Source organism: Homo sapiens, chromosome 17 (genome assembly GCF_000001405.40).
Source record: "Homo sapiens chromosome 17, GRCh38.p14 Primary Assembly".
Taxonomy (NCBI): domain Eukaryota; kingdom Metazoa; phylum Chordata; class Mammalia; order Primates; family Hominidae; genus Homo; species Homo sapiens.
Genome location: NC_000017.11, coordinates 607513 through 623488, shown reverse-complemented (window position 1 = coordinate 623488; position 15976 = coordinate 607513). Strand labels below are relative to the sequence as shown.

The following is a 15976-nucleotide window of genomic DNA, read 5'->3' as shown; positions in this document are numbered from 1 at the left end:
GGTGGTTGGGATTCAGGGTTTCACTGTATGGTGACTCTATCCATTGGCTTCGGTGCTTAACCCCTCATTGCAGTGATTTCACTGAGCTGCTGGGAAAGTGATGATACAGAACACTCTGTGTGGATTTATTGTTTGTCTCTTACGCAGTACATCATGTTTCTAGAATGCCCTGTCATCATTTTTCTTAAGTATTGATCCCATTTTACAGACTAGTAATTTTGTGAGTCAGAGGCCTTACTCAGTCACAAATACCTTATTTCTTTATCAGTTATCAGATTTGGTTACAATTAGGATATGTTTTTACTTTAGGGTTTACCTTTTAACATCTCTGGTGAACAAACTAGGTCAATGAGTCTCTGTAAACCCCAAAGCCAGGTATACAGGCCTGGGGACTACGTGCCTCCATTGGAAAGGTGGAACATAGTACTGCCGGTTAAACGTTTGTCTCTGTGTAGTCAAAGACCAGGTCCAAATTTTCACTCCGGAAACCTCTTCTTTTTGGTCTGATGCAGTGGCTCACACCTGTATAATCCCAGCACTTTGGGAGGCCAAGGCAGGATTGCTTGAGACCAGGAGTTCGAGACCAGCCTGGGCAACATAGTGAGACCTCATCCCTACAAAAAAAAAAAAATTAGTCGGGTGCACCCCTTAGTCCCAATCACTTGGGAGGCTGAGGCAGGAGGATCACTTCAGCCCAGGAGTTGAGGCTGCAGTGAGCTATGATGAGTGACAGAGTGACACCCTATCTCTAAAAAAAAAGAAAAGAAAGAGAAAGGAGTAAACCTCTTCTCTTTGGAGGCCCAGGCTCCCTGCTAACACATCAAGGTGCTCTCTTCAGATTTCCTGTCCACTGGGAAACCAAGTGACTCTGTTCTATGGTAATTTCTGTTTGCATCATTACATATGCGTAGACATTGAGCTCCTTGAATACAGGAATTGTAGCTGACTCATCCGTCTCCTCGAGTCGTGCAGAGTGTACACAGAACCCATGCAGGCAGGAATGGAAGGGGAAAGAAGAAAGGAGGGAGGGAAGAAGAAATCCAAGTTGAGAGAATCATACCTTTGAATTTTCTTTAGAGCTAGATTTGTTTTTTTTTTTTAAACTGCGGGTAACAATAGAGAAGCAAAGTGATTTAGTAGCAAAATCCTTGGACCAGCAGTCAAGACTTGTGGTCTAATCCCGATTCTGCTGTAATGTAGTGAACTGCCTTCCCTGTTAAATGAGAAGAAAAGACTATCCTTTATTTTTTTATTTTTTTGTTTTTTCATTTTGTTTTTTAGACAGAGTCTTGCTCTGTCAGCAGGCTGGAGTGCAGTGGGGCGATATCGGCCCACTGCAACCTCTGCCTCCCAGGTTCAAGCAATTCTCCTGCCTCAGCCTCCTGGGTAGCTGGGATTACAGGTGCACACCACTAAGCCTGGCTAATTTTTGTATTTTTAGTAGAGACGGGGTTTCACCATGTTGACCAGGCTGGTCTCAAACTCCTGACCTCAGGTGATCTGCCCGCCTCGGCCTCCCAAAGTGCTGGGATTCCAGGTGTGAGCCACCATGCCCACCTATCCTTTAATAACAGAATATTAGGGAGACTAAATAAGACATAAAACCCAAAAGCCATGAAGAAAAGTACTAAAAGGTTTAACAACATAAAGAGAACAACGTTCTTTTGGAAAAAGAGACCAGAAACATAATCAAGGGATTAAAAAACAGTTGAAGCTGCATGACACAAACGATTAATATCTAGCACATGTAAAGAACTCCTAAAAATCCATAAGGAAAATACGAGTAACCCGTTAGAAAAATGAGTACAGAGTCAGACAGACGATTGACTGAAGAAATTCAGTTGGCTAATAAACATGAAAAAAAAGAAAACAGGATATTTTTCCTACATCAGGTTTGCAAACAGAAAAAAATTACAAGACTAACAGTACAGGATTTTAGGGCTAGTATACAGCTTGATACAACCTTTTTGGTGCATAAATTGTCATTATCAGAACTTTCAGAAATGTAAATATGCATGTCCTGTCAAGCAACAATTTTACATCTAAACCAGAAGTCTAAAAAAAAATCCATACATGTAGAGGAAGATGCACAAAGAAAGAGGTGAACTGCAGCCTTAAAAGCAAAAGGCTTGGCTGTGTCTGTAATGTTTATTATTGAAGATGGTTAAATAAATTACAGTGCATCCATACTGTGAGATGCTACACAGCAGTTTAAAAGTGGTAGAACGGGGGCCGGACGCAGCAGCTCACGCCTGTCATCCCAGCACTTTGGGAGGTATAATGTCTTTTATGGAAAAAGTAAAAAGCATGTTTATGTGTGTAAATGTATAAGAAAGAGGTCTGGAAATGGTAACAGTGGATGTCTCTTGGGAAGGAAGTTGGAGTGAGAGTAGGTAGAGAAGCAAGGAAATATTTTTTTCCATTTACTCTGGTATAGTTTTTTTGGAAATTTTCTTATACAAATGCATTTACATACTTTGTGTGTACTTTAACAAAGTTATTTTTCAATTGTTTTAAAATGAGAGAGATGGGCCAAATCAGTGATTTCCAAATCCTTTCTTGTAACAAAATCTAATGTAGAGGCCGGGTGCGGTGGCTCATGCCTATAATCCCAGCACTTTGAGAGGCTGAGGTGGGATGATCACTTAAGGTCAGGAGTTTGAGAGCAGCCTGGCTACCGTGACAAAACCCCATCACGACTAAAAATACAAAAAATTAGTCAGGCGTGGTGGTGGGTGCTGCCAAGGTTGCGCCACTGCACTCCAGCCTGGGCGACAGAGTGAGACTCCATCTCAAAAAAAAAAAAAAAATAGAATGTAGAATCTGAAACACCCATAGCTGTCATGCTTTGAACATCCACTTGGTGACCCACGCTATATTAGGTGCGTTTACCTGCAGTCAGTCACTGTGCTTCATCAGCCATAGGAAGTAGGCGCTGTGCTCATTTGAAACTTACTCCAGGCCACGGAGCTAATGTGTAAGACCGTGAAACTGAGCTACTGTGGTTGAAGCCGGGGGCAGGCTGGGACTTGTACCTGGAGTCCCACTCACTTGTTCAACCTTCACCTCTGCCACCTTCTCTAGCTCCTACCCTTCTGGTCCTAAAACCCTGAGACTTCAGTGCAATTCCCTCTTTGTCCCATGAGACCAGCCTCAGAGCAGGTGAAGCGGGTGAATCGGGCTGGTCTTTAGACAGGGTGGAGCAGGTGAATCGGGCTGGCCTTTCAGGCAATGGACTGCAGAGCGGTGGTGGCAGCAGCCCAATTTTGAGGCCAGACCACAAGGTCCTGCCTACTTGGGCTCACTCACGACTTTATTAGAATAAAATGCAGCTGAAACCACAAAGCACTCTTTTCCTACTTAGCACATCAAAAATATGTATACTTCTCTGCTTGCTAACTAATGTTCAATATTGATTTCTTTTTAGTAACAAGGGAAAAAAATGGGTCACAAAACAGGTGAAAATAGCCTTAAAGAAAATGCAGGTCAGAAAAGGAAATACTAGCGGGGCGTGGTGGCGCACGCCTGTAGTCCCAGCTACCCGGGAAATACTAGCGGGGCGTGGTGGCGCACGCCTGTAGTCCCATCTACCCGGGAAATATTAGCGGGGCGTGGTGGTGCACGCCTGTAGTCCCAGCTACCCGGGAAATATTAGCGGGGCGTGGTGGTGCACGCCTGTAGTCCCAGCTACCCGGGAAATATTAGCGGGGCGTGGTGGTGCACGCCTGTAGTCCCAGCTACCCGGGAAATATTAGCGGGGTGTGGTGGTACACGCCTGTAGTCCCAGCTACCCGGGAAATATTAGCGGGGTGTGGTGGTGCACGCCTGTAGTCCCAGCTACCCGGGAAATATTAGCGGGGTGTGGTGGTGCACGCCTGTAGTCCCAGCTACCCGGGAAATATTAGCGGGGTGTGGTGGTGCATGCCTGTAGTCCCAGCTACCCGGGAAATATTAGCGGGGTGTGGTGGTGCACGCCTGTAGTCCCAGCTATCCGGGAAATATAAGCAGGCGTGGTGGTGCACGCCTGTAGTCCCAGCTACCCGGAAAATATTAGTGGGGTGTGGTGGTGCACGCCTGTAGTCCCAGCTACCCGGGAAATATTAGCGGGGCATGGTGGTGCGCGCCTGTAGTCCCAGCTACCCGGGAAATATTAGCGGGGCGTGGTGGTGCGCGCCTGTAGTCCCAGCTACCCGGAAAATATTAGCAGGTGTGGTGGTGCACACGTGTAGTCCTAGCTACCCAGGAAATATTAGCAGGCGTCGTGGGCACCTGTAGTCCCAGCTACCCGGGAAATATTAGCAGGCGTCGTGGGCACCTGTAGTCCCAGCTACCTGGGAAATATTAGCAGGCGTGGTGGTGCACACCTGTAGTCCCAGCTACCCGGGAAATATTAGCTGGGCGTGGTGGTGCACGCCTGTAGTCCCAGCTACCCGGGAAATATTAGCGGGGCGTGGTGGTGTGCGCCTGTAGTCCCAGCTACCCGGGAAATATTAGCAGGCGTGGTGGTGCACACGTGTAGTCCCAGCTACCCAGGAAATATTAGCAGGCGTGGTGGGCGCCTGTAGTCCCAGCTACCCAGAAAATATTAGCAGGCGTGGTGGGCGCCTGTAGTCCCAGCTACCCGGGAAATATTAGCAGGTGTGGTGGTGCACACGTGTAGTCCCTGCTACCCAGGAAATATTAGCAGGCCTGGTGGGCGCCTGTAGTCACAGTTACCCGGGAAATATTAGCGGGGCATGGTGGTGCACGCCTGTAGTCCCAGCTACCCAGGAAATATTAACAGGCATGGTGGTGCATGCCTGTAGTCCCAGCTACCCAAGAAATATTAGCAGGTGTCGTGGGCACCTGTAGTCCCAGCTACCCGGGAAATATTAGCTGGGCATGGTGGTGCATGCCTGTAGTCCCAGCTACCTGGGAAATAATAGCGGGGCCTGATGGCGCATGCCTGTAGTCCCAGCTACCCAGGAAATATTAGTGGGGTGTGGTGGCGCATGCCTGTAGTCCCAGCTACCCGGGAAATATTAGTGGGGCGTAGTGGCGCACGCCTGTCGTCCCAGCTACCCGGGAAATATTAGTGGGGCGTGGTGGTGCACGCCTGTAGTCCCAGCTACCCGGGAAATATTAGTGGGGCGTGGTGGTGCACCCCTGTAGTCCCAGCTACCCAGGAAATATTAGTGGGGCGTGGTGGCGCACGCCTGTAGTCCCAGCTACCCGGGAAATATTAGCAGGCGTGGTGGTGCACGCCTGTAGTCCCAGCTACCCGGGAAATATTAGTGGGGCGTGGTGGCGCACGCCTGTAGTCCCAGCTACCCGGGAAACATTAGTGGGGCGTGGTGGCGCACGCCTGTAGTCCCAGCTACCCGGGAAATATTAGTGGGGCGTGGTGGCGCACGCCTGTAGTCCCAGCTACCCGGGAAATATTAGTGGGGCGTGGTGGCGCACGCCTGTAGTCCCAGCTACCCGGGAAATATTAGTGGGGCGTGGTGGCGCACGCCTGTAGTCCCAGCTACCCGGGAAATATTAGTGGGGCGTGGTGGCGCACGCCTGTAGTCCCAGCTACCCGGGAAACATTAGTGGGGCGTGGTGGTGCACGCCTGTAGTCCCAGCTACCCGGGAAATATTAGTGGGGCGTGGTGGCGCACGCCTGTAGTCCCAGCTACCCGGGAAATATTAGTGGGGCGTGGTGGCGCACGCCTGTAGTCCCAGCTACCCGGGAAATATTAGTGGGGCGTGGTGGCGCATGCCTGTAGTCCCAGCTACCTGGGAAATAATAGCGGGGCCTGATGGCGCATGCCTGTAGTCCCAGCTACCCGGGAAATATTAGTGGGGCGTGGTGGTGCATGCCTGTAGTCCCAGCTACCTGGGAAATAATAGCGGGGCCTGATGGCGCACGCCTGTAGTCCCAGCTACCCGGGAAATATTAGTGGGGCGTGGTGGCGCACGCCTGTAGTCCCAGCTACCTGAGAGGCTGAGACAGGAGGATCACTTTAGCCCAGAAGGCAGAGGTTGCAATGAACTGAGATTGCACCACTGCACTCCAGTCTGGGTGACAAAGTGAGACTGTCTCAAAAAAACAGAAAAGGAAAGGAAATAGGAACAGAGATCCCACTGAAGGAATCCTGAGTTTCTCCTGAGAAGTATGAGGTTGGCTTTAGCAGCCCCCTGATTCCTCTTGCTGGCTCTCCTCTCGGACCTTCCCAAGCCATGCTCCTGCCTGGTTTCAAGCGTAGATATATGTGGCACTGGATTCAGCCCTACGGAGATCTGCCCGGCGACAAGCATGAGGGTTCAGCATTGAGCACAGGCCCCACCCTGGGAGTAGCCCCCTGAGCTCCCACGGCCTCTGGCTGGGCAGGGTCCGGAGAGCATCAGGACAGGCTCTGTGAGCTGGTAATCCAGATAACCGGACGGGAAATAGGTCCCAGTGAAGGATGCTTGAATGACATTCTTGCCAAGCACTTGTTTTGAGCCATTCTTCACCCTCTCTGGCTGGGCCCTACTTCCTGGTGATTTGTCTTTTACATTTAGGGAGCTATAGGACCACAGAGGAACAAATGGCCCTGTTGCATCTGAGGACCAGGGTAGCCTGTGAACCTGGGTCTGTCCCAGGACCTCTCCAAGGAAAAATCCCCCAAAGGCCAAAAGTGGTAAGGGAACGAGGGCAGGGAAGGCCCTTCTGGACAAGCTGAGGCAGCTGAACAGGGTAACCACGTAGAGACCATGAAAAACTGACAGGAGCTTACTCAAGTTTGCAAAGACAATGCTTTATTGTAAAACACAGGTACAGGACTGTCAGAATGGCAGTTGGCCAACTGTCAGACACCTTCTGTCCCGGGAGGACTGGGCTGGGGGTACTGGTTTCTCAGGGCAGCACAGCCCCTTTCTGCCTGAACTCACTCGGCCAGGGCCAAGCTCCTGGCCTGGAGCCCAGTGTCTCCTGGCCGAGGTGGTGCTCTGTGGTGGTGGTCAGGGGTCAGCTAGGAACACTTGAGCCTTTTTCCCCAGCTCCTTCCTTTTTGGTTTTCATATTTGAAATGTTTTGGCAGAACTGGTCTTTAAATCATCCCCTCTTCATTGTTCAGTTGTTGCTCTCCTCTCCTCTCAAGTTTGCAGAGTTTCAGGTTCTAAATCCTTAGCCAGAAAAGCCTGATGAACACCATGAGTTCTTTCTTTCCCTCTCTATTTAGTCAGCTCTCCTCTCCACAGACTTCTCTAAATCCTTCAGCTTCTTTAATTCAACTTCGTCCTCCTACCCTATTCTTTGTGCCAGGTATCACGACCTGGCAGTTATTCTGCATTCCAAATCCTGAAAATGGCTGTCTGATATCCTTCAAGGGTTTTCCCTTAAAGATAAGTTTCTAGGAAGGCAACAGAAGCCCTATGGCCACTTTACCCAGGTGGGACGGGCCTTGAGGAATCGGTTCACTGCAGCTCTGCTGTGAGGAGACGTGAAGGCTGTCACTCTAGCTGATGTTCACACTGAGCCTGGTCCCCACCATCATCTCATTGTGGGCCGTGCACGACCTTCTTCACCTTTATTCTGCGACCCTCAGTGGCAGGGACCTTGGTGAATTCATCATGGCTACCGACCATGCTCCCAACGCAAAGCACCGGGAAGGGGCTGCCTGGGCAAGGCCAGGAGTTCCAGCTGTCCTGACCCCCAGTCTAGCTGCTGGGTACCCTGCCTGGAGATATGCTGCTCCCTGGCCCCTGACCCCTTCCCCATGCTACCTTCCTTTCAGGATACACTCTTTGGAAACTCCTTTTTGGCTACCATTTTGTTTCAAAATACCAGAATAAATTGTGAAACGAACCAAGGTATATCTTGATACCCTTTGATATATGCCAGATTTTATAGAAAGTTACTGAATTCCTCAGAAAGGTGCCACAAAACAGGTAAGATGTCAGCCAAGGAGCCAAAACGGCCAGAGACTCTCCCTTGCTGCCCCTCCCTAGGCTGTACGTCATCCCCACCCTACCCCCACTGCCGCCTTCACTGTATCATTCCAAACCTCTCCAGTCCTTGGTGACTGGCAGTGAAACAGTGAGGATGAGCTTGAGAGTGTGGCCAGCTCGCCCGGAAGACAAGACCTGCCACAGCTCAGCTCCTCCTGACCCATCACTCCTGACTTCAGTGGGATGCATCATCCTTGGCTCTTTTTCAAGAGCTGTGACTTCAACATTTGATAGAACTTTAGACTGAAAGAGCCTCAGGGACAGGCTTGTTGCTTAACCAGTTTCACGATGTCCTGTGCTGTAACTGTTACTTGAGGAGGTGAGCTGCCTGTGCTTTTCCCAGTTGCCTCAACTTCTGACCCTTTAGGAGGAATTCAAGAGAGTCTATAAATTAAAATGCCTTGAAATTAAAAGAGAATGTCTGGATGTGATGTAACTGGATCCATATGCATTATTAGTGACTTGATGATTAGATTCAAGGTGAGCAAATGACATTCAGCCTTCTGCTGAAAGCAGAAAAGCAGACTAGATCGGATTAGCTTTTTATAACTGCCTCACTGGGAGGTTTTTGTTTTGTTTTTTGTTTTTTTTGTAGTAATAAAATTAAAAATGTTCCCCTTTTATGCAGCTGGATTTCCCTTCCTCTTGACCACTGCATAAGTTGCCTTTTGAAACAGACTTGTCCTTTGGCTTATAGGGGCCTTTACTTCCCCAGTTTTTAGAATTACATTCTAAAGATAGAAGCTATATGGGTACAATTGTCAGCCATGGAATTTGAGTGTAAGAGCGTTTGCAAAAGGCTCACGACTCATGAAAGACCACCCAGCATGTCTCACTCTACACCCTGGTCTTCCGGCACCTGCATGAGGGAGACTGTGTAAGGAACAGGGGCAGGTTTTCCAGCTCTGCCACAGCTTGAGGACATCTGTCTCCGACAGTGACAGATTCCCCCGCCTCATGCACTCCCTTCAGCGTTGGAAAATATTTTATGGATGCTTTACTGGTGCTAAAGAAATGTATTCTTCCATTTGAATAATATTGCAAGGGACGATTAACTTCTGTTTCTGAGAAGAGAATAATACAGGGTCAGGATAGAAAATTTGGAAATTATGGCGAGAATAGAGAAGCAGGAAAAAAGTCATCCAAATCAGAGATGAGGATTTGGGTATATTCTTTCTATATATTTTACATGGTTGAAATTGTATTTTTTTAAATACAGTTTTCTCTGCCTAGTTTTTAAAATTGAGATATAACTCATGTCACGAAATGTCACATGAAATTTATCGTTTAAAGTATACAGTTCAGTTGGTTTTCATATATTCATAAGATGATGCCACGATCCCAGCTGTGCAACTCCAGGACATTTCTGTTACCCCAGAAGAAATCCCTCCTTAGCAGGCAGGACTTTCAAGTTCTCTTTCCCCAGTCCTGGGCAGTTACGAATTGACTTTTGTCTTTACGGATGCCTGTTGTGGACACTTCACATAAACGGATGCTACGATGTGTGGTTTTTGTGTCTGCCTTCCCTCCCTCTGGACAGTGTCTGCGAGCCTTACCCATGATGAGGTGTGTGTCAGTGCATCATTTTGATGGCTGAATAGTGCACCGTTGTGTGGGTGATGCACATATTGTTGTCTCTTCCATCAGCTGTGGACATTCGGGTGGTTTCCACTTTTTCACTGTGTGAATACTGCTGTGAGTATCTGTACAGGTTTTCACTGTGTGAACTCACTGTGAATATTTGTACAGGTTTTCACTGTGTGAATTCACTATTTGAATACTGCTATGAATATCTGTACAGGTTTTCACTGTGTGAACTCACTATGTGAATATTTGTACAGGTTTTCACTGTGTGAATTCACTATTTGAATACTGCTGTGAATATCTGTACAGGTTTTCACTGTGTGAACTCACTATGTGAATATTTGTACAGGTTTTCACTGTGTGAATTCACTATTTGAATACTGCTGTGAATATCTGTACAGGTTTTCACTGTGTGAACTCACTATGTGAATATTTGTACAGGTTTTCACTGTGTGAACTCACTATGTGAATATTTGTACAGGTTTTCACTGTGTGAATTCACTATTTGAATACTGCTGTGAATATCTGTGCAGGTTTTCACTGTGTGAATTCACTATTTGATTACTGCTGTGAATATCTGTGCAGGTTTTCACTGTGTGAACTCACTATGTGAATATTTGTACAGGTTTTCACTGTGTGAATTCACTATTTGAATACTGCTGTGAATATCTGTACAGGTTTTCACTGTGTGAATACTGCTGTGAATATCTGTGCAGGTTTTCACTGTGTGAACTCACTATGTGAATATTTGTACAGGTTTTCACTGTGTGAATTCACTATTTGAATACTGCTGTGAATATCTGTACAGGTTTTCACTGTGTGAATACTGCTGTGAATATCTGTACAGGTTTTCACTGTGTGAACTCACTATGTGAATATTTGTACAGGTTTTCACTGTGTGAATTCACTATTTGAATACTGCTGTGAATATCTGTACAGGTTTTCACTGTGTGAACTCACTATGTGAATATTTGTACAGGTTTTCACTGTGTGAATTCACTATTTGAATACTGCTGTGAATATCTGTGCAGGTTTTCACTGTGTGAACTATGTGAATATTTGTACAGGTTTTCACTGTGTGAATTCACTATTTGAATACTGCTGTGAGTATCTGTACAGGTTTTCACTGTGTGAACTCACTATGTGAATATTTGTACAGGTTTTCACTGTGTGAATTCACTATTTGAATACTGCTGTGAATATCTGTACAGGTTTTCGCTGTGTGAACTATGTGAATATTTGTACAGGTTTTCACTGTGTGAATTCACTATTTGAATACTGCTGTGAATATCTGTACAGGTTTTCGCTGTGTGAACTCACTATATGAATATTTGTACAGGTTTTCACTGTGTGAATTCACTATTTGATTACTGCTGTGAGTATCTGTACAGGTTTTCACTGTGTGAACTCACTATGTGAATATTTGTACAGGTTTTCACTGTGTGAATTCACTATTTGAATACTGCTGTGAATATCTGTACAGGTTTTCGCTGTGTGAACTATGTGAATATTTGTACAGGTTTTCACTGTGTGAATTCACTATTTGAATACTGCTGTGAATATCTGTACAGGTTTTCACTGTGTGAACTCACTATGTGAATATTTGTACAGGTTTTCACTGTGTGAATTCACTATTTGAATACTGCTGTGAATATCTGTACAGGTTTTCACTGTGTGAACTCACTATGTGAATATTTGTACAGGTTTTCACTGTGTGAATTCACTATTTGAATACTGCTGTGAATATCTGTACAGGTTTTCACTGTGTGAACTCACTATGAATATTTGTACAGGTTTTCACTGTGTGAATTCACTATTTGAATACTGCTGTGAGTATCTGTACAGGTTTTCACTGTGTGAACTCACTATGTGAATATTTTTACAGGTTTTCACTGTGTGAACTCACTGTGAATATTTGTACAGGTTTTCACTGTGTGAATTCACTATTTGAATACTGCTGTGAATATCTGTACAGGTTTTCACTGTGTGAACTATGTGAATATCTGTACAGGTTTTCACTGTGTGAACTCACTATGTGAATACTGCTGTGAATATCAGTACAGGTTTTCACTGTATGAACTCACTATGTGAATATTTGTACAGGTTTTCACTGTGTGAATTCACTATTTGAATACTGCTGTGAATATCTGTGCAGGTTTTCACTGTGTGAACTCACTATGTGAATATTTGTACAGGTTTTCACTATGTGAACTCACTATGTGAATATTTGTACAGGTTTTCACTGTGTGAACTCACTATGTGAATACTGCTGTGAATATCGGTACAGGTTTTCACTGTATGAATACTGCTGTGAATATTTGTACAGGTTTTCGTGTCAGCGTGTTTCCTATTCTTGTGAGAATATACCTGAGTGGAATTGCTGGGTCACATGGTAACCCTAGGCTTAACTTTTTGAGGAACTGCAAACTGTTTTCGAAGCAGCCACACGGTTTTACATTTCTACCCACAATGTAGGAGGGTCCAGTTTCCCCATATCCTTGCTGACGCGTGTCTCCTTTGTTCCCCTAATTATAGCCATTCTCATGGGTGTAGAGTAGTATCTCCTTGTGGTTTTCATTTGCTTTTTCCCATTGACTAGTGACATTGCACAGCTTCTTTAAAGAAATGTCTATTCAGCTGGGTGTGGTGGCTCACGCCTGTAATCCCAGCACTGTGGGAGGCCGAGGTGGGAGCATCACCTCAGGTCAGGAGTTCAAGACCAGCCTGGCCAACATGGTGAAACCCCGTCTGTACTAAAAATACAAAACTTAGCCAGGCGTGGTGGCGGGTGCCTATAATCCCAGCTACTCGGGAGGCTGAGGCAGGAGAATCGCTTGAACCCAGGAGGTGGAGGTTTCAGTGAGCTGAGATTGCGCCACTCATGTCTCAAAAAAAAGGAAATGTCTATTCACATTTTTTGCCCATTTTTTAGTTGGATTGTTTTTATTGTTGAGTTGTAAGAGTTGTTTACACATTCTAGATATATTCTATAACTTTTTTTTTTTTTTCTTGAGACAGAGTCTCACTCTGTTGCCCAGGCTGGAGTTCAGTGGTGAGATCTCGGCTCACTGCAACCTCTGCCTCCTGGGTTCAAGCAATTCTCGGACCTCAGTCTCCTGGGTAGCTGGGACCACAGGAGCGCAGCACCATGCCAGGCTAATTTTTGTATTTTTTGTATTTTTTTTTTTTTTTTTTAGTAGAGGCGGGGTTTTGCCGTGTTGGCCAGGCTGGTCTTGAACTCCTGGCCTCAAGTGATCCACCCGCCTCGACCTCTCATAGTGCTGGGATTATAGGCGTGAGCCACCATGCCCAGGCTTTATAACTTCTTTAGATATTTTATCATGTATCAGACATATGATTTGCCAATGTTTTCTCCCATCTGTGGGTTTTCACTCTCTTGATAGTCATTTCACAGGATTTCCGTTTTAATGAAGGTTTTTTGTTCTTGCTTGTGTTTAGTGTCATATCCAAGAAACTGTTACGTAATCCAAGGCTACAGAGACTTACCTAGGTTTCCTCCTAAGAGTTTTATAGTTTCAGCTGCTACATTTATATCTTTGATCCATTTTGAGTTAATTTCCATATTAACTCACACACACATATGAAAATATGCTTCATATGTCACAGCTTAAGTTGTTTCTCAACTACTACAGAAAGATTTTATTCTATAGATACTCAGTGATTCCCCTAATTATTCTTTTCTCGTAGGACCCTTAGTTTTTTCTCACTTTTATAAATAGGGCTATATGAATATTTTTGTCTACTAATTTGTGTGTGTGTGTGTGTGTGTGTGTGTGTGTGTGTGTGTGTGTGTGTGTGTGACGGAGTCTCACTCTGTCGCCCAGGCTCGAGTGCAGTGGCGCGATCTCGGCTCACTGCAAGCTCTGCCTCCTGGGTTCACGCCATTCTCCTGCCTCAGCCTCCGCGTAGCTGGGACTACAGGCGCCCGCCACCACGCCTGGCTAATTTTTTTTTTTATATTTTTAGTAGAGACGGTTTCACCATGTTAGCCAGGAGGGTCTCGATCTCCTGACCTCGTGATCCGCCCACCTCGGCCTCCCAAAGTGCTGGGATTACAGGCGTGAGCCACCGCACCCGGCCTTGTCTACTAATTTTATATGCATTTGAGATTGTTTTTTTCCTCTCTTCTCTTCTCTCTTCTCTCCTCTTCGCTGTCTCTTACCCAAAGCAGTGAGATGATTTTCTTACGACACTAGTGGAATTATCGGCTCAAGTTGTGAGCACTTTCAATTTCAGCCTCTGCTTTAAACATCTTTCTGTTCCTCTTCCTTTCTGTTCTTCCAAATGCAGTTAAGATTTAAAAGTAGTCCCTGCTTGTTTCAGTGCATCTCACAGTGTTAATGTGCCATGCCTAATGTGAAGGGGTAACTCTGCCAAATAGAAAAAGCAAAGCAATCTGAATTCTTTTTTTTTAATTACACATTTCTACTTCTAAGTATATGCCCAAGGGAATTAAAAACATATGTTCGTATGTCTTACACAAATGTTCATAGCAACACTATTCACAATAGCCAAAAAGTAGAAACATCAGTAGACAAGGAATAACCAAAACGTGGTCTGTCCGTACAGTGGAATATTATTCACGTAAAAGGAATGAAGTGCTGATACGTGCCCTGACCTGGGTGAACCTTGGACACACCATGCCGAGTGAAAGAAGCCAGACACAGATGTCACACATTATATGATTCCATCTATAGGAAATACCCAAAAGAGGCAAATCCATAGAGGCCGATGGGGTTGGGAAGGGGAAGACTGGGAAGTAACAGCTTCCCAGTAACAGGTAGGGGTTGCTTTTGGGGGTGAAAAATGTTCTGGAATTGGTGGTGATGGCTGCACAACCTTGTGAATGTCCGAAAACCACTGAATAGTAAATCACTTTAAAATGTTGAGTTTTATGTGACATGAATTACATCACAATTTAGAATTAAAGGCTTTAGAAGATAGTGTATGAGTTTAGTTATAAATCATCTTTACTCTTCAGATAAATATTCTGTCAAAAAAAAAAATGAGCAGTGGGCCGGGCATAATGGCTCATGCCTAAAATCCCAGCGCTTTGGGAGGCCGAGGTGGGCAGGTCTCTTACAGCCAGGAGTTTGAGACCAGCCTGGGCCACGAAGACCCTGTCTCTAAAAAAAAATTTTAAAATGAGCAGGGCGTGGTAGTGTGCACTTGCATTCTTAGCTACTCAGGAGGCTGAGGTGCAAGGGTCACCTAAGTCCAGGAGTTCAAGACTGCAGTGAGCTGTGATTGCACCACTGCACTTCATCCTGGGTGGAAGAGTGAGGCTCTGTTTCAAAAAAAAAAAGAAAAGAAAAGAAAAGAAAAAAGCAGAAATAGCTATATATGCCTATTAAAAACTCAAATAGAAAAAAAAATTTTAAATAAACATCTCTTCTTAACTACTGTATATCCCTCCCCCTGGAGGTATCCACACTGTTTAATTCTTTGGGGTATATTTTTGACGCTTCTGCAAGCACGCTTGCACACATATACGCAGGCTTTTTGTTTTGTTTACAGAAAATAGAAAGTGTTGCCCATGTTTCTGAAGAGGATTTTATTGAGGGCCTTTCATCTGATCAGCATTTACCCACTTATATTTTTCAAGCTTCCCTCTTTGTTCAGGGCTTTGGAAAAGATGAGAAATTGGATCGGGAAGGCACTTAGGGTCTAGTAGGAGAAAGAAGTCTGTACATAACTGTTGCAATAGAAGAAGTGGACATGGCGGTAGCAAGAGAGTAGCCCCAGAAATGGTGGACACCAAGTGTGTGAACCCCTGGGCTTGCAGTCCTGACTGTCAGCTAAAGCCCCGCAGCCATCTCTTTAAGGACCAATTAGGAATTGGGCTGGAGTAAAGCATTTATGGAGTGAGAAATGCAGAAACTGAGGAACTTTCATCTCACAAGCGAAAGCTTTCCCCTCTAGGGAAAGGAAGAGTCTTAAATTTCAGAGTTCCTTCTTTGATAATTCGATGTGTCCAGCTAGGGCCTCACACAGGGATTTGTGTAGGCAGACGAGATACGGATGTACTGCTGACTGAAGCCAGACTTTCCCTTCTTGACAGTGAATTAGACAGCCTGACTGTCCTGTGGTCTGAACTGTTTTGAAGGTGCTGGGAATCCCCTGTGATTTAATCAGTAGGGATTAACTTGCTATATGAAGAATTTTGCTTTCCTATATCGGCTTGAAATCAACTGTCATCATAGCAAAAAGAATGAATTCTTTCAAAATTGGAAGTCATTCACTTCTTGGAAATTTTTGGCTTTATTTAGCAGCCTCAGAGTTCATGAAATATGTCCTTTGAGTTACTGACAATCTAACCCCAAAGTTGTAATTCTCTGTGGCCTGTGACAGCTGCAAAGCAAGCCTGAGAAGCGTGATCTGTGTGGCTCTTAGCACAGAAGGCTGCGTTATGCCA

At 45.4% G+C, this 15976-nt stretch overlaps 1 protein-coding gene across 12 annotated transcripts in view; it reads left to right on the top strand.

Annotated features, from left to right (window-relative positions):
* VPS53 (VPS53 subunit of GARP complex) overlaps positions 1 to 15976 on the top strand; it is a 206172-nt gene that overhangs the window by 91351 nt on the left and 98845 nt on the right. The gene's annotated exons all lie outside the window — the stretch shown is intronic.